General features: G+C 40.4%; 1 protein-coding gene and 1 pseudogene across 7 annotated transcripts in view, besides 1 other annotated feature; one reads left to right on the top strand and one right to left on the bottom strand.

Moving 5' to 3' along the window:
- The first annotated feature begins 4766 nt into the window (after positions 1 to 4766).
- Positions 4767 to 4842, top strand: LOC124905299 (uncharacterized; annotated as a pseudogene).
- Positions 6537 to 7055: an enhancer, noted in NCBI's record as "NANOG hESC enhancer chrY:59291828-59292346 (GRCh37/hg19 assembly coordinates)". NCBI's record gives its function as "activates a minimal SCP1, AML or CMV promoter by ChIP-STARR-seq in primed H9 embryonic stem cells {active_cell/tissue: H9 hESC(primed)}" and the evidence as "EXISTENCE:reporter gene assay evidence [ECO:0000049][PMID:30033119]".
- VAMP7 (vesicle associated membrane protein 7) overlaps positions 22443 to 26994 on the bottom strand; it is a 62425-nt gene continuing 57873 nt past the window's right edge. For all 7 annotated transcript variants that reach the window (NR_033714.2, NR_033715.2, XM_017029760.2 and 4 more), the window contains 2 exons: positions 26419 to 26511; positions 22443 to 24329 (listed from right to left, as the gene is read on the bottom strand). Coding sequence is in view for 5 of the 7 variants with exons in the window: in XM_011531188.2 (XP_011529490.1) it covers positions 24073 to 24329; positions 26419 to 26511 (350 nt within the window). In the remaining 2 variants the exon portion in view is untranslated. The remainder of the gene's footprint in view (positions 24330 to 26418; positions 26512 to 26994) is intronic.

Here is a 26994-nt window from a genome sequence, read left to right as displayed (position 1 = left end):
AACAATAGGAGCTGTCATTCATTGGCTGGTAGAACGCATAATGGTACAGTCACTTCAGAAGACACTTTCGCGTTTTTTTTTCCAAAGCTGAACAACTCTCACCTTATAATCTGACAATTGCACTCCTAAATTGCCTGTATTTAGACAACTGCTTTGAAAAGTTATGTTCAAACATATACCAGCATGTAATTATGTACAGCAGTTCTATTCATAATGGTCAAAATGTAATCAGAATTTCCTTCAATAGCTGAATGCATGATCAAATTGGGGTGCATCTATGCAATGGAGTACCATTCATAAATAGAAAGGAATAAACTATCTACGCATGCGAAGACATGGGTAAATCTTGCATGTATACTGCTAAGTGAAGGAAGCCAGTCTGAAGAGGCTACCCACCATTTCACCCCATTTTATATCATATTTTGGGAAAGGCAAAATTACAGAGATAAACGAATCAGTGGTTACATAGGGTGGGTATTTGAAGGTACTTCAATGGTGGATACCTGACACTATGCATTTTATAAAACTGATATAGTTTTACAGCCCAAAGAATAAATCACAAGCTATACAAATTAAATCAAACATTTAGGGTGCAGTAGTATCCAAGGATAAAATATAGAATGGGATCAGGAATCTAACTGTATTACAAATTTATGGAAAAACTCACTGCAGGTGATGGGCAGAAAGTGCTAACCTAAGTCACTTTGGAAATGAGTAGAATCTATAGTCTAAAAGCAGAATATACTGAATATAAATAGTGGTCTCTATTTTATAAAGTTCTCTCCCCCAGGGGTAATAGTCAATTTTGAAACCAGTATATCTGTAAAAAGAAAAAAAAACCTGTTTTTCATCTATACTCTCAATACTTCACTTCTGACACCAAATATATGAGGGATTTTCCCATATCAACCAATTCTCCAACTTTCTGGACACCAGCTGGGTGTTATATAGTTCAATTATGACATGAACTAACTGGAGTTATTACATACCTAATAGTTTAAGGGCTCAGTAACACCAGACTGCCCCCCCCACTTCAGATGCCAATCACAACTAGTAAATCCCCAGTTTACTCATACTTCTGTATGACTTAGCTGCAAATTGAACAGTCCCACACCTCCTCCTCAGGATTGATAATTTGCTATGATGGCTCATAGAACTCAGGGAAACATTTACTTATGTTTACTGGTTAATATGATCTCAATGTTGGTGTCCCCCCAAAATTCATATGTTGAAACCTAACCTCCAAGAGGATGGTTTAAACAGGTAATTCATTGTCAAGTGTTGTGGGAAGTCAGAGACCCCAAACAGAGGGACTGGCTGGAGCTGTGGCAGAGGAACATAAATTGTGAAGATTTCATGGACATTTATCAGTTCCCAAATAATGCTTTTATAATTTCTTATGCCTGTCTTTACTTTAATCTCTTAATCCTGTTATCTTCATAAGCTGAGGATGTATGTCACCTCAGGACCACTGTGATAATTGTGTTGACTGTATAAATTGATTGTAAAACATGTGTGTTTTAATGATATGAAATCAGTGCACCTTGAAAAAGAACAGAATAACAGCGATTTTTAGGGAACAAGGGAAGACAACCATAAGGTCTGACTGCCTGCAGGGTCAGGCAAAAAGAGCCATATTTTTCTTCTTGCAGAGAGCCTATAAATGGACGCGTCAAGTAGGAGAGATACCACTAAATTCTTTTCCTAGCAAGGAATATTAATATCAATACCCTGGGAAAGGAATGCATTCCTGGGGGGAGGTCTATAAATGGCCGCTCTGGGAATGTATGTCTTATGCAGTTGAGATAAGGACTGAGATACACCCTGGTTTCCTGCAGTACCCTCAGGCTTACTAGGGTGGGGAGAAACTTCACCCTGGTAAATTTGTGGTCAGACCGGTTCTCTGCTCTTGAACCCTGTTTTCTGTTATTTAAGATGTTTATCAAGACAATATGTGCACTGCTGAACATAGACCCTTATTAGTAGTTCTGCTTTTGCCCTTTGTCCTGTTCCCTCAGAAGCATGTGATCTTTGTTAGACCCTTACTAGCAGCACTGCTTTTTGCCTTTTGAAGCATGTGATCTTTGTACCTACTCCCTGTTCTTACACTCCCTCCCTTTCTGAAACCCTTAATAAAAACTTGCTGGTCTGAGACTTAGGTGGACATCATGGTCCTACTGATATGTGATGTCACCCCCGGCAGCCCAGCTGTAAAATTCCTCTCTTTGTACTGTCTGTCTTTATTTCTCAGCCGGCCGACACTTATGAAAGACAGAAAGAACCTACACTGAAATACTGGGGACAGATTTCCCCAATAATCAAGGCTCTGCCCTCATGAATGGCACAAGTGCCCTTATAAAAGAGTCTGTAGGGAGCCTGTTTCTCTATTCTGCCATGTGAGGACATGGCTAGAAGGTACTATCTCTGAGAGACGAGCCCTCACCAGACATGGAATCTTCCAGTGCCTTGATCTTGGACTTTCCAGGCTCCAGAATTATATGCAACAAATTTATGTTGTTTAAAAGTTACCCAGTCTATGGTATTTTTTTATAGCAACCTGAAAGGACTAAGACCCCAGTTCATTATAAAGGACATGGTAAAGAAAACACATGAACAGCCAGATAAGGGGGTACACAAAGCAAAGTTTGGAAGTGCGGAAGCTCTGTCCTCATGGAGTTGGGGTTTGCCATGCTCCCTGCACATGGATGTATTTAACAATTTAGAAACTCTTTAAACCCTATCTTTTAGGATTTTTTAAGAGACAAAGTCTCGCTCTATCCCAAGCCTGGAGTGCAGGGGTACAATTATAGCTTACTGCAACCTTGAACTCCCGCCCTCAAGCAATCCTTCTGCCTTAGTTTCCCAAGTAGCTAGGACTACGTGCACACACTACCACACCCAACTCTCTTATTTTCTGTAGAGATGGAGTCTCACTGTGTTGCCTAGGCAGGCCTCAAATTCCTGGCCTGAAGTGATCCTCCCACCTCTTTCAGGGATTTTTATGGAGGCTTTATCACATAGGCATGATTGATTATTAACTCAATCTCCAGCCCCCTTTCCCCTCAGAGGATAGGATATGAAGCTGAAAGTTACAAGCTTCTAATCATGGCTTGGTATTTCTGGTGACCACGCCCCATCCTGAAGCCATCCAGGAGCAGAGCAAAAGACATTCCTATTACCTGAGAGATTTTTAAGGCATTTGGAAACTCTGTGTCAGAAACCAGGGTCAAAGACCAAATATGAGAACAAAAAATGCTCCTAGCACCCCTATCACTCAAGAAATTGTAAGGGTTTTGGGAGCTCTGTACCAGGAAATAGAGACAGAGACCAAACATATATTTATTATTAAATCACAACTTATAATTTGAATCAACAACAATAAATTCGGTGTTTATACTGGAACAAGGGATTAAATAAATGGCAGATGGTAGAAGCTAATTCCTTGCTGTCAGAGTGAGAATTTACAGACAAGAAAGGCAGGGGAGGCTAGAATAATTCTTGTGATAATGGATCAGAGTCCATTGATTGGAGATATCAGTATAAACTCACATGTAGCTTAATATATACACAGATGGATCCACATAGAAATCTTTATAATTAGGCATGTATATGTAGGTTAGAACACACACATATATATTTCCTTGCATTGTCAGCTGTGAGGGACAAGATGCAATGAGCATATTTAGCTGCCAGATATAAGTTTTTAAAACCATTCTCTAATAAGGGAAATCAGTGCTCTTGGAAGAAATAGCTAAACTAGGGCTGAGACAGTAAATATATGAGCCAGGATACTCTTGAAGTGTCAGAAAGAAATTGTTAAAACAAAACAAAACAAAACATGCAGTTATGTCAAAGGAAAACAGGAGCCAATAGAAAGATCTCCCAATGGCCACAGGTAGGAAATCAAAGCAACAAAATACTGTACAATTGGATAATAACCAAAAGATTGAAGTAACTGTCTGGTTGTCCATACTGGTCTAAATAAATGATTAAATAAATATGCAAATTGGCCAAATAGAAATATCTTATACAGAAGAATTCCAAATACCTAATGTAGATACTCAGCCATCAAGGAAGTAGAGCTAACTCCCTACTCCTTAAGTGTGGGCTCTGCATGCTTATTTCCTCCAAAAGAATACATACAGTATGGACATGGGGAAAAAGTAACTTCACAGTGAGAAACCTAAAAACACTACCTCAGCCAGGTGATCAAAATTAACATTAATGGTGATAATGCATCTTGAGAGCATGAAGAGACTAGAATAGCACTACACATCTGATCTGCTTCCCCCAAACCCGTAACCCCAGTATAATTATGAGAAAAATACCAAGTAAACCACAATGAGATATTTTCTACACAATACCTGACCAGTCTTTCTTACACTGTCAAGGCTATCAGAAGGAAAGTCTGAGAAACAATCATAGGCAAGAAGAGCCTGACATGACAACTAAATGTCCTGTAGGATCTGAGATGGGATCCCAGAATAGAAAAAGATAGAACTGAGGGAAACCAAATAAAACGTGGGCTTATTTAGTAATAACATATTAATATCTGGTCATTAATGGTAACAAATGATGTAAGATGTTAAGAAGACATCTGATACATACTAATATGTTAATAAGAGGGAAAACTAGGTTGCAGCTACAGGGGAAATCTGCATTCTTCTTTCTAATTTCTGTGTGAATCTAAAACTAATTTAAAATAATAACTTTATTCAAAACGTAATTTTTTTCAAACATCTGCTTATTTATTTGTACTAATAATTAAGACTATACTTTCAGGGATTATTTCTATAGTTTGTTAATTATTTGTACTAATAGTAGTAATTGACACTAACTAGTCCTACATTTAAAAAATAAGAACATTCATGATGCTGTGAAGTATATAATGCAGACTAATAAATAATTCCAAATAAGTGCCTCTTTTGCATGTTTTATGTTAAAATAACATACTCGTGTAAACTTATTAATCATATTTTTTACTTGTGGTGTGGTTCTGTCCTGGGTTCACTCTCTAGAAATCTGGTCACCTTAGACCAGGGAAAAAATCACATTTTAGAGACTATTTCAATTCATTGCTGAACATTTTCAAAAGTACAACTTTAAAAAATAAAAAAGGGCCAGGCACGGTGGCTCACACCTGTAATCCCAGCACTTTGGGATGCCAAGGCAGGTGGATCACGAGGTCAGGAGTTTGAGACCAGCCTGGCCAACATGGTGAAACCTGGTCTCTACTAAAAATACAAAAATTAGCTGGGTGTGGTGGCAGGCACCTGTAATCCCAGTTACTCAGGAGGCTGAGGCAGAATTGCTTGAACCCAAGAGGCGGAGGTTGCAGTCAGCCGAGATCGCGCCACTGCACTCGAGCCTGGGTGACAGAGCAAGACTCCATCTCAGAAAAAAAAAAAAGGTCCAAATGACAAATTGATTTATTGTGACTGGATCACTTATTGTAATGAATCTTTGTCTTTGTTTCCAAGCATTCCTTTTAACAGTAATACAACAGAAACAAATATTTGTCACTGCAAAAAATATTCAGAGAAAGGAAGAATATGAACAGATTTTGTGACCACGATCATTCGGTGTCTCCTTGTGATGCTTTCTAAAACAGAAGAGTTTAAAGGGATATTCAAAGTCAATTTTAGAGAAATTGATGAAATTAGATAAACAAAAGTGGCAGGACATTCTATGAGTGATTTTAGATATTGCTATGTCTTGAGGAAAAATGTAATATACCTTTTAGAGGATCACAAAGGATTATTGGAAGCCCAGACTCTGGAATGTTTCCAAATTCAGTTGAAATTATGTCAATATAGGTAATAATGAAGGTAATGATAAAATGGGATCTGTGCCTTATTTGTGTAATAAAATCCACAGAGTATTTAATGCTCCTAGGAAAACATGTTAGACTTGAAATACAGTTAATAATATCAAAAGCAAAATACACTTCTGTAAACCAAAAATAAAATTCTAAGGCTCCCAACCTTCTAAATGGACTTCCTCCTCAGCCAAGGCTCTCTAAAATTTAATCTGAGAGACTGTTTCAGGCCAAGACGGGAAGTGAGGGTCAGACATGCCTCATTATACCTCTTTGGAATTAACATCAACACAGACTTTAAGTATGATAAGAAACATTTTAAAACGTATTCTCTGTGAAGCCTACTGCCTGAAGACTTCCTCTGCAAATAAGAACTTGGGTCTCTAAAATCCTTTATCTTAACCCAGACATTCCTTTCTATTGATCCCAGGTCTCTAGATAAATTCAACCAATGGTCAACCAGAAAAATTTTAAATCTACCTGTAAGCTGGAAGCCCCCCATTTCGAGTTGTCCCAGCTTTATAGATCAAGCCAATGTATTTCTTAAATGTATGTGATTGAAGTGCCATGTCTCCCTAAAATGTATAATAACAAGGCGTACCCTGACCACCTTGGTACATGTTCTCAGGACCTCCTAAGGGCTGTGTCCTAACCATAGTCACTCATATTTGGCTCAGAATAAATCTCTTCAAATGTTTTACAGAGTTTGACTGTTTTCATTGACACTTCCTTACATTTGATTGTACAACAGAAGTAGCTCATCAGGAACAAATGTACCATATTGAAGTATGTTCATATTGTTGACCTAAAGGAAGAAGCTGAGGCACAAAATAGAATTTTACAGTTTACTTGAGCTAAGATGAGGACAGCTGCCCAGAAGACTCAGACCTAAATATCTGTAGATATGAGCTCCATTCAACTTCTGTTACAAGCAGGTTTTTTAATTTGGCAGCCAGCACCAGGGCACCAGGGAGAGAGAATCTCCTGATGATCCACAGCTGTTAACATTGAAGTGTTAATTGAATGCAAATGACAGGGAGAAGAAACTTCCTGGGCATGTGCTTAAGAGACAAAATGGTGAAGTATGACCTTCTGGGGACACTCCACCAGAAAAGAGAGGAAAGCCTCAGATGGGCACGCGTACAAGCTTCCTAAAAAGACGGCAAGTGCTCAGTTCCCAAGGGTAAGGAGGGCACTGTGCATGCGGGCAGCCCACCCTAAGGGAAAAATCATGGGAAAGAGGTGAGCCTATAAAGTCCTAGGATCAAAGTTAAATGCTGTCTTTGACCTTCAGATGCCTACTTGGGTCTCTTTCAAAGCGAATTTTCCTTCCTTTCCTGTTCTATAAGCCTTTTTAAAATAAACTTACACTCTTCTTCTAAAACTCGCCTTGGTCTCTTCTTCCACTTTATGTCCCTCAGTCGAATTCTTTCTCCTAAGGAGGCAAGAACTGAAGTTGCTGCAGACACATATGGATTCACTGTTAGTAACTCAGGGTAACTTGGATACCTGCCACTGGTAACAATAATGGAATAAAGTTTTCTTGACTTTACTGAAACGATGTGTTGATGAGAGGAGGTGCCAGCTGGGCTTCCTGGGTCTAGCAGGGGCTCAGAAAGCTATGAAACTCATTTTCTGCAACAGGACTTACTTTGGTCCTGGATGAATAATATTGAAGATATATGCTTAAAATATTCCTAACATCAGAATTTGTGCATGTGTTTTCTTCCCCAAGAAAGCTATAAACAGCGAAACTTTTGCTGTAAGCTTCCCTGTGTCCTCGCTCCCTCTCTCCCTTCCCCCTCCCCTGAAACTGAAAGGAATGTTAAAAGCCCGTTTTTCTGTGACCAGCAAACCTTATCTATGCTCCCAATTCCGATTCCTTGTAAACACAGTTTGTAAAATCCTGTGAGATCCTGTCTCCTTTGCCATGCCGCTGCAAGGTCATAAAGTAGATAACCTTAAGTTACAATTCCGGTTTCCTCAGATCTGATACATGTTAATTGTCTTTGTTTCTCGCTCTGGTAACATCTTCCCGCCGCACGTATTTCCCGCCTTAAAGGGTTTAAAGGGGTGATCAAAAAATCTAACACTGGCTACCGGCCCAGGACCCTTCACGCTGTGGAAGCTTTGTACTGCCACTCTGCTCAATAAAGCCTACAGCTTTTTTCTCTCAGTCTGATCCGTGTCTCTCTCTCACCGCGGCTGCCGCCACATCAATTCTTTGGTGTGGCTAAGGCAAGAACCTTTGGCGTTACATTGAGACCAGAAACCCAAAATGATGGTGACTGAGAGTACTACTAATGCCCTATGTTTTGGTCACCTAGGTGAGAACCTGACCAAAAGGGGAGAGTTATTAACTGGGCTCCTGCACTAGGCCACAACAGACCAGGCCAAACCAGGATGGAATAACTGACGCCAAATGCCACACAACCAAACTGAAGTGTTAAGGAAGCAGATAAATCCCAAAACAGACCAGTGTTTCCTGAAAAAGAAAGGATTCCCGTCTACCTGAGTCAGCATAAGGAAATCCCCTCTGCTTTAACCCTTACCCAAAAAGGGACCTGATATTAACTGAACCCAAAATATCTGAGACAGGTCTCAGTGAATTTAGAAAGTTTATTTTGTCAAGATTAAGGACACACCCGTGACACAGCCTCAGGGGGTCCCGATGACATTTACCCAAGTTGGTAAGGGTACAGCTTGCTTTATACATTTTAGGGAGACATAATACATCAATCAACACATGTAAGATTTACACTGGTTTGATCTGGAAAGGTGGAACAACTCGGGGTGGGGGCTTCCAGGTCATAGATAGATTTAAAAATTTTCTGATTGGGAATTAGTTGAAAGAGTTATTATCAGTAGAAAGGAATGTCTGGGTGGATAAGGGGTTATGGAGACCTAGGTTTTATTATGCAGATGAAGCCTCCAAGTAGCAGGCTTCAGAGAAAAAAAGATTATAAACGTTTCTTATCAGACCTAAGGTCTGTGTTGATGTTAATGCTGGAGGGGTGTAATGAGGCATGTCCAACCCCCTCTTCCACAATGGTCTGAACTAGATTTTCAGGTTAACTCTGCAATCCCCTTGGCTGAGAGGAGTCCATTCAGGTGGTTGGGGGCCTTAGAATCTTATTTTTGGTTTACATAACCAATCAGCTGTTATTTTCCATTGTTCTGTTTCCTTGTTTCCATCTTACAAAACTCACTGTTCTGCTATTGCCCAGTGGGAACTGAGACCAAATAAGAACTTCTGAATTCCATACTGAGACCAAATAAGCCCATTTATAATGATGACAGAGAGTGGAGTCATGGTGACAATGCCCAAAAGTTTTGGTCAATTTCTCAAAATTAAAAGGCTGACCAAAAGGAGGGAGTTGTTAAACTAAATTTGGGCTTTAGAAGCCTCCCAACGAGTCCTTGTAAAGAACTACAACCTAAGTTAGTATATAAACAAACTGAAAATCTGACTTAGAAATCTGTCTTTATAACAAATAGCTGAGGCTAAACCAATCACAGCTGCCAAGTGTCAGCCAATGGCAGGCGGCCAACTGTTCAAACTAGGTTCCATAAAGGCAAATCCAGGCTGTAACCAATGGAGCTGTCTCTGTATTTCACTTGTTTTCTGTATGTCACTTTCTTTTCTGTGGTTATAAACATAACCTGCAGATGTCATGTGGCAGAGCATTCTGGACCATTTTTGGTCCGGACTGCTGCCTGATTCTAGAATCTCAAACAAAAGCCAATTAAGATCTGCAAACCTAGATGTGCTGTAATTTTGTCTTTTAACAGTTGGGTCCTGAAAATGATGGCCTATTAAGCTGAAGTTAATTAAAAATCACTTAAGGTCATCATTGGTGTCACGCGCGTCAGCGTGAAGAGACCACCAAACAGGCTTTGTGTGAGCACCAAGGCTGTTTATTTCACCTGGGTGCAGGTGGGCTGAGTCCGAAAAGAGAGTCCAGCTACAGCCTTGCAGAGAGCCAGCACCCATGCCGGCACCCTGAGCTGCCTGCTGTGCAGTGGCCAGACCCTACAATCGCTCAGACACCCCTCACCACTCCACGCCTGACTCGCCCTTGGCAGGCATGGGCTCCAGGCCAGTAGCATGAGCTGAGTGCAGCCTACCAGGCCAAGTGGGTAGAACGAGTCCAGCGGGCCAGGGTAAAACTGCAGCAAAGGCTCCACTAGCCACAAAGGTTTCCGGCCAGAAAAGTAACACCCCAAGGATCCCTAACAACATGAGGAAAGTAAAACATATGGCAGCGTTCCCTCCTCTGCACTCAGGGCATGGACAGGAACCTTATTCCTCACCTTCAGGTGTCCTGAAGCCAGGGTGCTTCCCCAGGTCCCTCCTGAGCAGAAGGAGGCTTGGGTCCTCCCTGGGCACGACCCCCAGGTGTTCCTTAGCCACAGAGGGTCTCCCAGGTGGGTCCTGAGGAGAAGGAGATTTGGGTCCTCCCTGGGCATGGCCCCCAGCTGTCCTGTAGCCACAGCAGCACCTCCTGGGTGAAACCTGAGAACAAAGCTTGGTCCTCACTGTGGAGGTGCCGGATGTCTACGCAGAGAACATGGGGGCCTCATGAGGGTCCAAAAAGGTGGGTTTGCATGCCCCTACAGGCCGTTGGGGGCAGTACAGGATGCTCAGGCGCTCACGATTTAGTGGTGCCCATAGGCTGCGGTCTGCGGTCCCCGTGAATCTCTGAAAATCCATTGTTCTGATAATTCCATGCCATGATTTTGGAAATTAAAACTGAAAGAGAGCCTACCATCCCTTGCCTTGACCAAAATGGATAGAGATAAAAAGCAAAGTAGATGGTCAACGGACAAAAGTCAATTGATGTCCTACGTATCAGCAATTATGTATGGATAAAACTGGAATTTGAAAGCTGGAATACAGTATTTAAAAAAATCAATATCATTTACAACAGCAGGCCTCAAAATTAAAGTTCTTAAGTATAAATTTTTTAAAAAGGTACACATATGCATTCATAAAAACTAGAAACACAGTTAAAAGAAACAAAACGTAAATAAATGCAGAGATATTCCTTATTCACCATTGGTAGACTAGACATAGTTAAGATAAAAATTCCTTCAAAGTTGATCTATATATTCAGTGCAATCTCAATTAAATTCCCAGCAAACTGTTTCTAAACCTATAATAGACAACACTGAATAAACACAAACTTAAGAAACTCACACATCTGTACCCTAACACTTATTATAAAGCTAAACTAATGAGGAAAATGTGATAACGACCCTGACCCCAACACTGATCCAAAACCTAACCCTAACCCCTAAACTTAACCCTATGCTGACACTGACCCTGATCCAACCCTGACCCTGACCCCAACCCCTACCCAACCCAGATCCAGACACCAACCCCAACCCATATTTATAACCCAGACCCTGACCCTGACCCAATCTCTGACCCCTAACTTTGATCCTGACCTTTAACCTGACCTAGACTTCTGACTCTAACCCTAACTCAATTTTCCCCAGTTCAACTTGAGTGCCTAAATCTGAAACCATAATCAAAACTCAATATTATCCCAAAGTGAAACTCAACATCAATTTCACCCTAACCCTAGTGGTAACACCCACCGTAAGTCCTAAACCAGAATTGAGCCTGTATCCTGAAATTGTAACTGAACCCAGGTTCAGCTGCTTGCTACTTGAAAGACAAAACTCAAGAGACAGGAGGTGAGAGGAAAAGCAGGTTTATTAAGAAAGCCAGCAAACCTAGAAAATGACATGCTAGCATCCTAAAGTATCATCTTAAGTCACTATAAATTTTAGGTTCTTTTAATGTTAAAGGCAAGAGGTAGAGGAAGGAGTTGGGATCTAGAAGTGACCAACAACTTCAGACATCTGGGCGCCAGTGAGGGCCCGAGGAGGTTGGGAAATTCTTTGTCCTTGGTCAGGTCACAATGCTCCTATAAGTCTTTTAACAAAACACAGTTAGTTGTTTACATGCTTTTTTCTTTAATCTCAGAGTTAGTTTTAAAAGCTACGTGATTGCTGTTTTTCCATATTATCTCAGTGCTCTAAAATTATCCTAGCCTATGTGCAGGAATGGGTAAATGTCCCTTAAACAAAAATAGAATTAGTTATGTTAGTTTTTTTGCTGTTTCACTGTTACAAAACCATCCCCACACTTGAACCCAAATCCAGAAATCTTGACACTTAATCCAAATGTAAACTAGGATCCAACTGAAACCTATTAACCCTATCCTGAGCCTAAGCCCAAGTCCCAACCACAATCCTAAACTCTTTATGTGACCTGTTTGTCAATCATAACCGTGACCTCAATACAAAACCACAAATCCTATCCACATCTGAACCCTAGTCCTAAACACTAAACCCTAACCCAAATTGAGGCCAAAGTCCTATACCCTAAAATCCAGCCCAAGTCAAGAGTCTAATCCCAAACCCCAACCAGATTCCAATCAGACACTGACATCAAACCTGATCCCATCCATAACATCAATACCAACCTGAAGTTGAACCAGAAGGTGAACTATGAACATGAACCAAAACCCTAATTCAACCCCCTAAACTCTAAAGTCAAGCTTCATTCAGAGCCTATGCACAGGCCAGGACATCATAAACTGCAATCCAAATCTGAATCAAACCCCAACTCCAATTCCAACCCTAACCCTTACCATAAACCTCGATCCCAAACTTGAACCCAAATCCAAACTCTGAATTCCAAACAGATCATGACCTGAACCCTGACCCCTACACCAATCCAAAATCCTTAACCAGAATTGAACACAAACTCAAACTTTAAACCGAATGTAACCTGACCCAAAACCTAAACTCTAAACCCAAGCTGAAACCTGAAGCCAAACATTGAAGCTGAATAAAACCTTAGTCCAAACTTCTAAACTTTAAAACCAAGCTTAAATCAGGAGCCCAACCCAGGCATAAACCTGAACCATACCAAGCCCCAAAGTCAAAGCCAAACCCAAACCTAACTCCAATTACAACCATTACTGTACCTCTAATTTTAACCATAAACACTAATCCCAAACTCTAACCCAAACCTAAACCCTTAACCATGAAACTGACATCTGGGCCTGCGGTTCTGCCCTCTGGGGGCATGGCTCATTCTTTTGTTCCCAGCTGCACCCACTGCTCCTCCATCTAAGGATGAGACTGCTCACCCTGGGCCTGAAGCTCAGGCCTCTGCCTATGCTCATGTGGCTCAGCCTTTTGTTTCCACAGCTTCACCATTTGGGGCCAGGCTGTTTCCTCTAACTCCAGGGCGATGCCACCCTTTAAGCTCAGGACCCCGCCCCCTGCACTCTGGGGTCTGCTCTCCTCTGGGTTAAATCTGCCTTCTACCATTGTGATCTTGGCTCTGGTCTTTGAAACACAACACTAAAACTGAACCAGCACACGAACCCCCCTATACATTGAAACTGAGCACAAGTGAGAGTCCAAGTTCAAGCCCAACCACAAACCCCAATCAAACCCAAAGCTGAACCCCACCAAAATCCCAGAACACTATACTTACATGTGGGCAAACCAGAACATGTACTTGAACCCCTAAACCCTAAAACTTAGCCCTAGAACCCCAATTCTAACATTGACCTGACAAACAAGCCAAACCCCAAGCCCATCCTAATACTAACCCTAATACTAAATCCCAACTAAAAGCCAAACACTGAACACAAGTCAGAACCTGAACCTGAACATTTGAACCTGAACCTAAAACCAAGCCCAAGTCAGAGCCCAAGCCTAAACAAGACAGAACACCAGTCCATATCAAGGCCAATGCTGTTCCCAACTTTGACTCCATGCCACCCTAATCCAACTGTAATCAGGCCCCTTGAGATTTCAGCATCCCAGCATTTTAGTGACTGAAATAATGAAAATTCTGATCAGACCACTGCTTAAACATGTTAACTACTCATTTTTGGCCCATTATTCCTTGTTTCCACAATATAATTATAAACTACTGACATATTCTTTCTTTGTCAAGCAGGAGGAGATAACTTCAGGGCCACGAAAAAAAAAAAATGGCAAAAGGAATGAATGTTTTGAAGGACATTGGGACCAGGTTTTGATGCCCAGAAGTCTGGTTGTTCCAGGTGTTATCTGAGATTGAAGAAACACAGACGTTGCCCTTCAGTTCTCTGAAATACTCCCTTATTCCCTAGCTGCATAAAAACTCCTTGCTGCATCTTTTTGTTAAGGCAGATTTGACAGATCTTGCTCTCCCGCCTTCTTGCTTTGGCAAAATCTAATAAACCTTTCTCTATCTCTAAGAACTGGTGTCTCGGTGTTTGGCTTCAGCTGTGCATTGGGTACACGAGTTTGAATCTGGGGTTCCACGACCCAATCGCAATAATCCAAAGCAGCCCCAACTCAATCCTAGCCCAAGTTCTAGTCAAAACCAGCACCCCAACCCTACCCTAACCCTAACCCAACCCCAAGCCAAGCCCTAGCTTCAGCCCTGGTACAAACCTGAGCATGAACCTAGACACTACACCAAAAGCAACTCTGACCACAACACCAACCCTAAACTTTAAAATCGTACTTGACTACTACTCAGACCTCACATCTAAACCCTAAAGACAAATCCAAAGGAGAACACAAACATGAACCCTAAACTGTAAAGCCAACTCAAACCCAAAGGTGAACTCTCAACCAGAATATGAACCTGAACTTCAACCCTAAAATTAACCTTAACCCTAAGACATGAACCAGGACCCAAACTGTAAACATGAACAAGAACTCATACCCTTAAATGCCCAAACCAAGCCTGAATCAGAGCTTGATCTGAATCCTGATCAATACTCCTGATGAAATTCCAACCCCGAACTTTGACCTCAACCCCAACCCTAATCCAAACATAATCAGAAACAAAAAACTCTAGTCACAACCTGAACCCTATCCCCAATTCAGGCTAAGCCTTAGCCCCAGTACATTCAAAGAACAGGCCAAGTCCAAGTGCCAGCTCCAGCCCATGCCAAGCCCCAGCCTGAGAACTGAGTCCAAGCTGAGTCCAAACCCTTACCCCAACCCCCAAATCGACCCTGACTTGAACTCTGTCCCCAACCGTTCCTAACCCCAACCACATACCCAACCCTAAATTCTTAAAACCAAAAACTCCAACCTCAACCTCCAATCTAAACCCATATACACAAACCTGAACTAGAACCTAACTCAAATTTCTAAAGCCTGAACCCAAGCTGGAATCCCTAAACCCCAAAACAAAGCCAAGTCAGGACTCAAGCCTGAGCACCATAAAAAACCCAATTCAAATCCTGCCCCCAACCCCAAACCCAACCCTGACATCCCACACCCACACTTGACATCAATCCCAGTCCCAGCACCAGTGAGAGCTTGAGCTGTCAAGCTAGAAATAGAGCCTGAGCTTGAGCCAAAGCCAAATCCCAAAACCCATTTTGAACCAAACACCAACCTGAATCCCAACCACAATGCTGACTTCAACCCAGAACCAAACCTGGGTTCCAAACCCTGTCCCCAACCACAACTACACCAAACTAAAGCCCTAAACCTGAAATATAACCTAAATCCAAACTCTGAAATTAAAGCATAATTTACTCAAACTCTAAACATTAAAGCCTGACTCAAACCTAAAGGCAAAACCTGAACCCCAATCAAAATCCTAATCCAAAGCCCTTAGCCATAATATTGAAATGGAGTCAAAGCCCAAGTCTGGGCATGAATGTGAACCGCAATCCAAACTCTGAATGTGAACCTAAAATTTAACTCCGAAATCCTGAACTAGAACCTAACTGGAACCTAACTACACCCCAGCCCAAGCCTGAATCCTAAAACCAAACCCAAACCTAAACCCTATGCCTGAGCTACACCTTGACCTCAACCTAGCCCCCAAAAGAAGGCCTAAGCATGAACCCAAACTCAAATTGATACTCTAACCCTAAACTCAAACTCCAAACATGACTAGAACACTGCACCTGACCACTAACCTGAATTCAAAACCCAAACTCTAAAACCAAGTCTGAGGCAAGGCCCAGGCTGAGGGATCATATCCTGACTTAATTCCAAACCCTGACCTGATCCTTTACCCAAATCCTGATCCCAACACTAACCTCAACTTCAACCTTTTCATGGTCCCAAACTCAAACCCAGCCTCAACACTGGCCCAAACCCCGTCCCCATCCATGGCACCAACTCCAGTGTGAGCAGAGCACTAGTTCAAACCTGAGCCCAAAACTCTAACCTGAACCACATTCCAAAACCAACCACAACCATAAATTAGAGCCAACATTGTCCTCAGCCCAGACCCCTAAATCCAAACTTGAACTCAAGTCAACCCCTGCATCCAAACAAGACCACACCCAAACCCGGACCTCTATTCCAATCATATACCTAATACCTGACCCATGCCCTGAGTTTGACCTGGAGCCAAATAGCAACTCTAACCTGAATTCGTACCCAAGCCTAAATCCCTGAACATAAAACCATTGCCAGAGTCTGAGCCCAAGCCCACGCCCAAACCATAAATCCAATCTAAACCTAAACTCAAAACACGACTTAAACCGTGAACTCAACCCTAACACTAACTGTAATCTTAAACCAAATTCCAATCAAATTTGCTCTTAAATTCTGACATTGAATGAGAGTGATACCTCAGGCTTAAAACTTAAAACTAAACCTGAGTGAGAGCTCAAGCCCAAATGTGAATCACTCCAGCACCGACTCCAAACCTAAATCATAATCCTGAACCCAAACCCCAAATTGTAAATCTGAATCCAGACCTGAACCTTGAACCCAAACTACTAAACTCCAAACCCAAGATAGAGCCTGAACCTGAACATGAAAACCCTAAATCCAAATCTGAACCTGAACTAGAATCCAAACCTAGCTAATCCCAATCCCATTACCATTTCCAGCCCCAGCCATAAACTTGCATAAAGCAGGTTCACTGTGCACTGCTTACCAACTTGTCTGGGTCTGGTGAGACAAGTTATATGATGAAGCAAATGTATTAATTACAAATAGGCAGTAAGAGAAAACAGAAGCCTAGGATTCACTGTGAGCCAGTCCCCCAAGGTTCAGGAAAGCTGCTCAGGGCAGATAGAGTCTTGTCTGTGCATGCCTCACTTGCACTGCAATTGAAGGATCCTGGAAAGCAGTTTGCTCTGGATTTTATACCCTGGGAGTACAGGAACTACTTGTCTAAAGCGTCGTATGACATCCTGTTCTGGGTGAGGGGCACTGGAACAAAGCCTGGGCTGTTCCAACTAGCCTTCCTTATCTCAGGGTGTTGCATTCCCAGACATTCTACAATTATTCTTGAAAATTACGAGTGAGAAAGAAGGGAGAACTGGGATGGTCCAAGGATATCTGGAGAACTATCCTGCACCTAGCTCCATCCTAAGCCCCTGTCCTAATCTCAATCTCAGCCAGAGCCCAAGCCCTAGTCCAAACTGAGCTCTAGTCAGAGCTCCAACATGAACTGGACTCAGAGCCCGAGCTTCAACACAGACCTCAAACTGAACCAAATCCCTACCTTAACTCCAGCCCAGAACCAAACTGCATTTCAATAATGTCCTTTAATCCAACCCCAAATCCTAACACAAATACAAATCCAAACTCTGAACCTGAACCAGAACCCAAGTCTGAATCCATACACCCTAAAATCAAAGTCAAGTCAGAGTACAAGCCTGAGCCCAAACCAAATTTCAAACTAAGCCCAAACCTCAGACTCAACATCCACACTAACCCTAACCCAAGCCTTATACCCTAAACCCTAACCATAAATATAAACCTTAATTCCAAACTCAAAATCTAACCCAGACTTGAACCCAAATCCCTAAGCCATAAAACTGATCCAGAGTCTTAACTTGAAATGGAACCCCTAAACTCTAAGCCTAAACTCAAACCTGAGCTAGAACCTTACCAAAACCCCTAAACCCGAACCCATGCCTGTAACCTGATCAATCCTAAACCTAACCAAACCCTGACTATGACCTCAATCCTAAATTTGAACTTGATTCCAATTCAAAACCTTCAATCTGGCTGGGTGCAGTGGCTCATGCCTATAATCCCAGCACTTTGGGAGGCCGAGGCAGGTGGATCACTTGAGGTAAGGAGTTCGAGGCCAGCCTGGCCAAGATGGTGAAACCCTGTCTCTACTAAAAATACAAAAATTAGCCAGGCGTGGTGGTGTGTGCTTGTAGTCCCAGCTACTTGGGAAGCTGAAACAGGAGAATTGCTTGAATCCAGGAGGCGGAGGTTGCAGTGAGCCAAGATTGTGCCACTGCACTCCAGCCTGGGTGACAGAGCAAGACTCTGTCTAAAAAAAAAACCGAAACAAAAAAAACCCCAAAACCTTTCAATCTGAGTATGAATCCAAACCTCAATAATAATCCCAACCCAATCCCTGATGTCAGCACTAATTCTAAAACAGAAGCTCAAGCTGAACTCAAACCCTAACCTGAACTCAATTTCTTAATCCCAAAGCTTACACCTGAACCTGAACCTTAGGAAATAAAACACCGCAATTGTTTTATAACACCAAGTTTTGGGGTTAGGGTTATTTTGCACTGGAGTTCAAATTCTGGGCAAGATGGAGAAAGCACACTCTATTGTGTCTCTCCCACAACTATAAATCCTAGATGGAATGTATGGAGCAGCTAATTTGAAGACTAAAAATGTATGTTAACAGGCAGATTGAAGATCAGAATCTGAAGTACCACCAAACCTGAAGTATTTCATTGCTTTTCCTTCTCAGACCATGTAGGCTCCAGAGGAAGCCCAAAACCTAACTCCTAGATTTTAAACTGGTAATCCTAATCCCCAACCTTAAACCCTAAAAACCCTGACACCTGATGAATTTACCCACTTATCATTATGAAACAATCTTCTCTATCCCTGGCAATATCCTTTGCTCTGACATCTACTGCAGTTTTCTCATTACTGTCTGCATGGTATATTTTCCCATGCTTTTACTTTTAACCTATATTAACATTTTAAGTGAGTTTCTTAAAGATAAGAGTTGACTCTAAAAATACACTTTGACATTTAACACTTTATCTTTTAATTGATGTGTTTCATTTGGAGAGTTTCTATTGCTTAGTCTTCAAGGTCAGTAATTTCTACTTCTGCTATGTCTACTAGGTCATTAATCCAATCCTGTGTATTTTACATCTCAGATATCCTAGTCTTAATTTCTAGAAATTAAATGTGCCTTTTTATTTCATGCCTCTGCTTACCTTTTAGAACACATGTAATACAACATTAATAGCTGTTTTTATATCTTTGCTAATTCTAACATGTCAGTTCTCCATTTATTTAAATTGATAAATTTTTTTATCTTATCGTTGGTCATATTTTCCTGCTTCTTTGTGTGACCGGTAATTTTGTATTTGCTGCCTTACACATTGAATTTTAATTTGCGTGCTGTGTTTGTGTTTCCATAAATATATTCTTGAGGTTTGTTCTGGGATGCAGTTACCTGGAAAACAATTTCATCATCTCAGGTCTTACTTTTAAAATGTATCAAGCTGGATGAGAGGTGTGTTTAGTCTACAGCAATGGTTCTCAATCAGGGACAATTTTGTCTTCCCAACTTTGTGAAATCATTTGGAAGGTTTTTGGTTGTCAGAACTGGGAAGACAGTGGCCCTGGCATCTAGTAGATTGATGGCCAGGGATGCTGGCAAAATACTATAATACAATGCACAGGACAGCCCCACATGACAAAAAATATCTGGCTCCAAATGCCAACAGTGCCAAGGTTGAGAAGCTCTGGACTAGGGTTATTTATTCTCCATTACTGAGGTAAGACCTTTCTGGGTACTCTATCAAATACTCTGTGATTCATGAAATTTTCCAGTTTGAATGCATATACAGGCACTACTTCTGGTACTGCGTGAGTGCAGGAAACTCTTCCGTCTAATCTTTTTTCGGGTGGTTCTTTCTCTGCCATTGAGTAGTTTCCTCAGATCTAGAGTCCTTTCTGTGCAGCTCTCTCCTCTCTAGTACTCTATCCTGCAAAGACATCTGTCTTGATCTTCCTGGAAATCTCAAGTCACATCTCAACCCAGGGAATCTGCCAGGCTCTGCCTGGGTTCCTCCTCATTGTATTATGACCTAGTTACTCTCTCCTCAGAATAAGCTGGTACAATTGTAGGATTCAACTCTTCGAAAGATCACTGTCCTTTGTTGCCTAGTGTCCAGTGTCTTGAAAACTGTTGCTTCATATATTTTGTCTTTCCGGGGGTGTTATTTCACGCAGGTAGGTAAATGCCCTGTATCTGTTACTCCATCTTGGCCAGCAGTGAAAGTCTGTAAGTTGCAGTCTTGAGTTCAATATTCTCTATGAGACTTCTTAAAGTTTTCTTTGTGCTTTTCTAAACTTGCAATGGGGATTTAAAAAGAAAAAACATGGTGTCAGCCCGTGCATGTTAGTTTTCTTATACAGAATATTGCCATGATTTTTTTTCTCTTTGGAAGAGATGTAAAAAGTCACAGCATTTTGGATTTAGATTGTTTGGGCTTAATAAATAGCACGAACCCAAAATAATTTTGTACAGTGTATTCTGACCAGAAGAATGCTTTAACTTACCAAAATTGTCTTGACAAAGCAGTAGAGCCAATACTATGAATGAGTCTAGGAGGAACTGGGCTATGCTAGACTGGCACCATTGCTTTTGCCAGAAGCTGAGAATTTCATAGAATCCCCTTACCCTAGATGGTTTTAGGGTTAGCCTTTCTCAGTGAGTTGCACTTATATGAGACTTGGAAAGCAGAACAAAAGTAGAGGCCAGTACCCTTCAAAGGATACAAAGATGCTTAGGTGCCTGGTGTGTCGCAGCTTTTCCTCAACCTTTTCCATTCCACATCCAACTCATTCTGTGGACTGTTAGTCATGCTAACCAACTGGGGCTGCAAGCCTACTACTTGGTACTTGGCATCAGATCTACTGAAGCTGTGGCTTCCATAAACCTTTCCACATGTCTCTCTTCACACACCAACTTTGGCAAGTGTATTAGTCTTCTCTCATACTACTGTACAGATACTACCCGAGACTGGGCAGTTAATAAAGGAAAGAGGTTTAATTGACTCACAGTTTCGCAAGGCTGGGGAGGCCTCAGGAAACTTACAATCATGGTGGAAGGGGAAGCAGCCACCTTCTTCACAAGGTATCAGGAGAGAGTGAGTGTGTGAAGGAGGAACTGTCGAACACTTATAAAACCATCAGATCTCATGAGAACTCCCTCACTATCATGAGAACAACATGGAGGAAACTGCCCCCATGGTCCAATCACCTCCCACCAGGTCCCTCCCTTGACATGTGGGGATTATAGGGATTAAAATTCAAGGCGAGATTTGGGTGGGGACACAGCAAAACCATATCAGCAAGCAGACATACAGGGCTTCTTAGGTTTTCCAGCAAGCTCCGACCTGTCTGCCTATGTCACTGCCTCAAGTGAAAGCACTAGGACTGTTCTTCTGATCTTCTGGTACCTGCCTTCCAGACCTTCACTTCCCAGTTTGTCACACATTTTTGTAACCTTGAATCCTATATTAAACTCTTTGTTTCCCTAACACTTGTCTTGCCTCTGCTGTCTTCACTGGATTCACGCTGATATACATGGCAACCACAACCACTACTTCCACCCTGTTTATTATACTTGAGAAGATGGCATTGCAAGACATAGACTTGCTTCTAATGTAGAACACTTTGGTAGGGTCTACGGTGCTGCTGTTGTTGTTACATTCATTTCCATCAAGATACCCTGGGAAGCAACCCAGTATCTTTGTCTATCTTGAGGCCAGAAAAGATAGATACCAAGAGTCAAGCAAGAAGAAACCATTATCTAAAGGCACCTACATTCACTATTAAGGAAACTTTTGGATTGTAACACTGTTTTTTTTTTTGCCAAGGGTTTGAAGTAAAGAGAAATAGCTGGTGTCACTTCTTTCTTTATTCATAACCAAATAAATAACCATCTTTTATTTTTCTCTAAGTGTCTGTTAGAGAATGCACATTTCAGTTGAAATCTGGATAAAACCTAGGGAGAACTTAAATAGGCTGTTTTTAAGTTATTGCAGCCTGTACAAAAATATATTCTATACCTGACTTTAGCCACCTTACGTTCAGAGGTCCCAAGTGACTGATTATTTTGTTGTGACCTATCTATTTGTATATTTGATTTGTGCCTGTTTTTCTTTTATTTCTGTTTAGGTACCCTGTTTGCTATAATGAATTATTCCCTCCCACCATTATGCCTTCCGCTTGAGTCTCTTTCAGAACCAGTCATTTAACTTTAGATAGAAAGATTTTTCAGAATTGTGCTAAACTGGATGAAAATCCCTGGGGTTCTTTTTCAGTTCTGTCTAAATCATGCACTCAGGACGATAGTTGTGAAGGCTGTGTGATCATCTCAGAATCTTTCATTGGTTTCAGCATGGGCTATATATTTTTTAAGTTCATTTGTGTCTTTTGAAGAAATTCTACACACCTGAGACTATGCTACAGATCTTTACTGGAAGTCTCCAGGTAACACTTCTTAATATATTTTCCGCATAAGTAAAATACTTTTGTTCTGTAAACAATGGCAAATGTCATCAGAAGAAATTAGGTTCCAGAAAGAACTTCTAAAACAAGCAAATCATTGTATTACTCTTAAATTTTATTAACATCTTCAGTTTGTGCGTCATTTAAAATGAGACATGTGCTTTAAAAAGCATTCTTATACATAAATAGACCAAGGAACAGTTAGGTAATTGATCCCTAAAACATGCACATCAATTTTATTCAGGTGTGTATAAGAAAGGGAAATAAGCTTTAAACCTTTTTCTTTGGATTAAAAACATTTGGAAATTATTCAGGAATGCCAAATGTTTTTCTGGAACAGATGTATTTTCCAATAGGAAATACTGATGCAATTAAGAGGCATTAGTGTTGATAAAGAAGACTGGAAAAACGTTTGTGCTATGCTAGATAAACAAGAAAAGAGTTCAAGTGGGCCTAAGATCTATGTCAAATAAATGAATCAGGTAGCATGAATTGAAAGGTTTGGATAGAAGAACAGGTACCATGAGCCAGATTATGGGACACATATATGTTCAAGGCACATGACTAGGCTAAACAGGTGGCTAGATTCTACAGACTAATTTGTTCATTCATTGAGAAAGTGTAAAATGTAATATAATTTCAATTTAATGGCACTTATTGATAAATAAATGCAATTGGATCTAGGGTAGAAAATGTCTTCCTTTCAGATACACACCAGAAATGCATACTAGATAACAGATGCCAGTAGCGATATGATTACAGTCCAATTTTCTTACACTGCAGTTAAATGGTTGTTAAACTGTTTTGTATTAATTCTATATGTCATACTGTCTATTCTCTTTCAAGTTTCACAAAAGAATTCATCAAAACTAGGCAGATTTAAGAATTTATTTAACCACAAAGAATGCTCAAAACTATTATTCAACAGGAATCAAGCCCAAACCCTGGAGTTGACTGCTGACCGTATTCGGTTTGGGCTTTTCCCAGAATGGAAACACTTTTCCCACACTACCTCCCTTTGCACAGCTAAAATGCTAGCATATCCACTGTGGTTCCCTTCTTTTTCTTTGGCAAGTCAGAGGAATTTACCTCCCCACCCCCTCTACTACATATTCTATTAGCGACACGATTGCCCTAAATATTCACAGAAGAAAAAGGAACACATTTAAAAAACTGCAACTTTCAACAATATTTAAACCTTCATCTTCTCAAATCAACTGCAATGGGAAAACAGAAGATATCAAGCTATCCACTGTATTGTGAATGATCAGCACACTGAACTTTATTCCTGAAAGTCAATATTAGGAGGACAAGGATAATTCTGTGTGCTTCTAATGGGCTAGCAAAATGTTCCCCATCTAACTGAAATAAGAATGTTTCATACTTTACTTGTCTGAGCTCTTAGAAGGAAGCAGCACCAACATCATTACAATTCCCCAAATAACAACTATTATCCATTTATATTGTTTTGAAGCACCTAAAACTTCTCAATAACAAAAGACATTAAGATGAGATGTTAGCAATACTGTCTCTTGAATACTTTTGTGTGCACATACAAAGTTTCTCCATAGTTTTAGTAGATAGCTCATAAGACTAGCGGCGACAGCTTTGAGCAATTAAAAACAAAAATGTTTCTCTAAATAGATGACACTAGTTAACAAACCAAAGAAATAAACAAAAGCCTTTTTAAGGCTACTGCTGCAATGAATGGTTCAATCTGAAGTTCACAGGAATAAACTGGTAGATAAGACAAAGATAAACCTGGAGGCATGGAACAAGATTTTAAAAAGTGAGAAGAGGGTTGAAGAGACTGGCAGATACCATCTGTCAGTATGTGAAAGGCTTGAGTCACATGGATTGCTTTTAACTCCTTGTTCTCTCATATCCTTGGTTAATGGTAACTTCTTCTTTCCTATTTCTTCACACAGCTTGGCCATGTAAATCCACCACAGAGAGGTGAAACAATGATATAGATGAACACCTGGAGGGACGAGGAGAGCAATTTTATTTTCTTGAATCAATCATATTATTCTAAATAATATATATAGGAAAGTAGAGCCTTATTAAGAAATACTTCTGATTCCATTAGAGTAGCAGTTATGTAGTAATGGAACACACTAAACAAGTATTTTCCAAGACAGAAGTGTAGTTAACATTGTCGTTTTTGGTATAACTCACACCCACTTGAACTCTAGCGTTTCCTTCAGTGGGAGAGAAAGCAGTGGGGTTGTTGCTCTTCACTGGTAACTCGGCAGAATCAAGGCTAAATGAGCAACTCATACTGATGTGTCATTAACAAGTCATAAAAAAATCACAAATAACCATAATTCTCCTGAAGTATGGTTTCATTAATTATATTTTTAGGTTTTGCACATGAATTTTATTTTTGATTAATATAAGAATATATTTTAAAAGCCTGAGTAGAAGGCTTTCATCTATATCACTTATGAGCAAGAACACTGCTACGAACTGTTCAGTGGATAATGACACAATAATTACGATGACCAAAACAATGAAAAGCAGATGATGTAAGTAACACTGCAAAAATACTGGTGCTATTACAGATGTGTTTGCTTTTTAATTCTAGATTATAATTTTAAATTATATTATAAAAGTCACTACTTGTTCACATTATTATATCACAAAAAATAGATTTTAAACATTAGGTTCACTGCATTAGTCACTTTATTTTATTTATTTTTTATTTTTTATTTTTGTAGAGATAGGGTGTCACTATGTTGACCAGGCTGGCTTCAAACTCTTGGCCTCAAGCAATCCTCCTGCCTCAGCTTCCCAAAGTGCTGGGATTACAGGCATAAGCCCCTATGCCTGGCTTTATTTTGCTTTAAATTACAACTTTTTGAGATCTTTAAGTGACTGATTTCATTATTTGCAAGCTTGGAAAAGGATGCATTGATGAATTGCATGCCCTTTGCTCCAAAAGTGAGCAAAGCATTTTGCCTTGTAGGGAACTATAAATATTGCCAGGGTTGGGGGGCAGATTACAGCAAATTCTGTTTATTAATGAATAGGTTGAACTTCTGACATCATATTCACACATACACACACATACTCACACATACACATGCCACAAATGTAAAGTTTACCAACTTGATGTAAAGTTGACTATTTGTCACAGCTGTAATATAAGGATTTTTCAAGCTGAAGTACATCTCGTTAGGTGACAACACCTTTTCGCAAAGATTGATATTGCATTTAGAGCTGTGCTCTGCATGTAATAAGTAATCAGTAAATATATTCTGAATTTAACAATTCAGCTGCACAAATCAACCTAAACTCCCAGACCAAATAATAAGTAAGAAGCTAAGCTCAGGAGCCTAAAATGTGATATTAGAAAGAGAAACCTGAGCAAGGAACCATTCAAGGCCATGACAATTACTTCCAGTATAAAATCTACAGATCTATGACTGCTCTTCTCTTTTAGATAAATCCAGCTGTCTAAGGCAGAGGACCCTCAAGCTGTGGTAGAGGAGAAGCAGGGTCAGAGTTATCTGCTTGGAGGTAACTTTGGGCTTCTGGACATGACTGGAGGATGGGGAGGAAAGGCAACTTTATCTGACCATGAACAGGGTAAAGCACCCCCCACCTGTTAGCAATAGTTTTTAAAGTTGTGGTTTAGGACCTCTTTACACACTCAAAAATTACTGAGGACTCCAAAGAGTTCTTGTTTAAGGGGGATTATAATTATCAGCATTTGCCATATTAGAAATTAAAACTTTAAAAATACATAATTAATTTAAAAATAAAAACAATAAACCCATTACATATAAACCAGAAATGTCTTTATTTAAAATAACTACATTTCTGTGAGGTCAGTTTTATAGATCTCTTCCTATTGAGAATATATAATAATTCTCAATAGGAAGGAGGGGTTTAAGTAGAGATATTTCATAGTGACTTCATAGGAAAGCCACTGCCTGGTCATGTGTTTCACTATTAAAAGACATATGTAGCTCATTTCAGAGTGTTAATCATTGAGAAATAATTCTAGTACCTAATTTCTTAGAGATTGAAAAATAAAGCCATACACTAAAAGGACAAAAACTTACAATTGATACGATGATGATGATAATAGTGAGCTTGAGGTTCTTCATACACATGGCTCGAGCAAGATTTCTGCTGGTAGTTTTGAAGGTGACAGACTAGAAAAGAGGCGAGAATTGTTTAACCCCTGGCACTGACTACATGAATGATTTGCAGTAACAACCTGAGAACATTTTACTTCCATTAATTCCATTTAAGTCCAATGACCTCTCTTTACAAGTAGAGACTGGCCATTCATACTCAATAGTTGCCAAAAGCAAGACTCTGCCAGGCCTATCATAAGCAGTATGAGCCCAATGAAAACGCTTCCCTCTTTTTTCTTCTCCACTGCAGCAATGCACATGATGTTGAGCACCAGAAGTGGTTCTTCCCGCTAGTGGAAAAGAATTTTCCTCTCTATACTTCCAATAAGAAAGGCTCTTTTAAAGCCAGCTGACTGCAAGCACATTCGCCTATTCTGCCCCGTATAATTCCGGGGCTTTGAGCCATAAAAACCTGTTTGATTTCTGTAGGAAGATATGTATTTACTTTTGTGAGGGCCAAAACCCATAGAACTTCATTCCTTCTGCTATCCATTTTCT

This window comes from Homo sapiens, chromosome X (assembly GCF_000001405.40).
Source record: "Homo sapiens chromosome X, GRCh38.p14 Primary Assembly".
Classification (NCBI taxonomy): domain Eukaryota; kingdom Metazoa; phylum Chordata; class Mammalia; order Primates; family Hominidae; genus Homo; species Homo sapiens.
The sequence above is the reverse complement of the archived record's forward strand: the minus strand, read 5'-3'. Positions and strand labels throughout refer to the sequence as shown.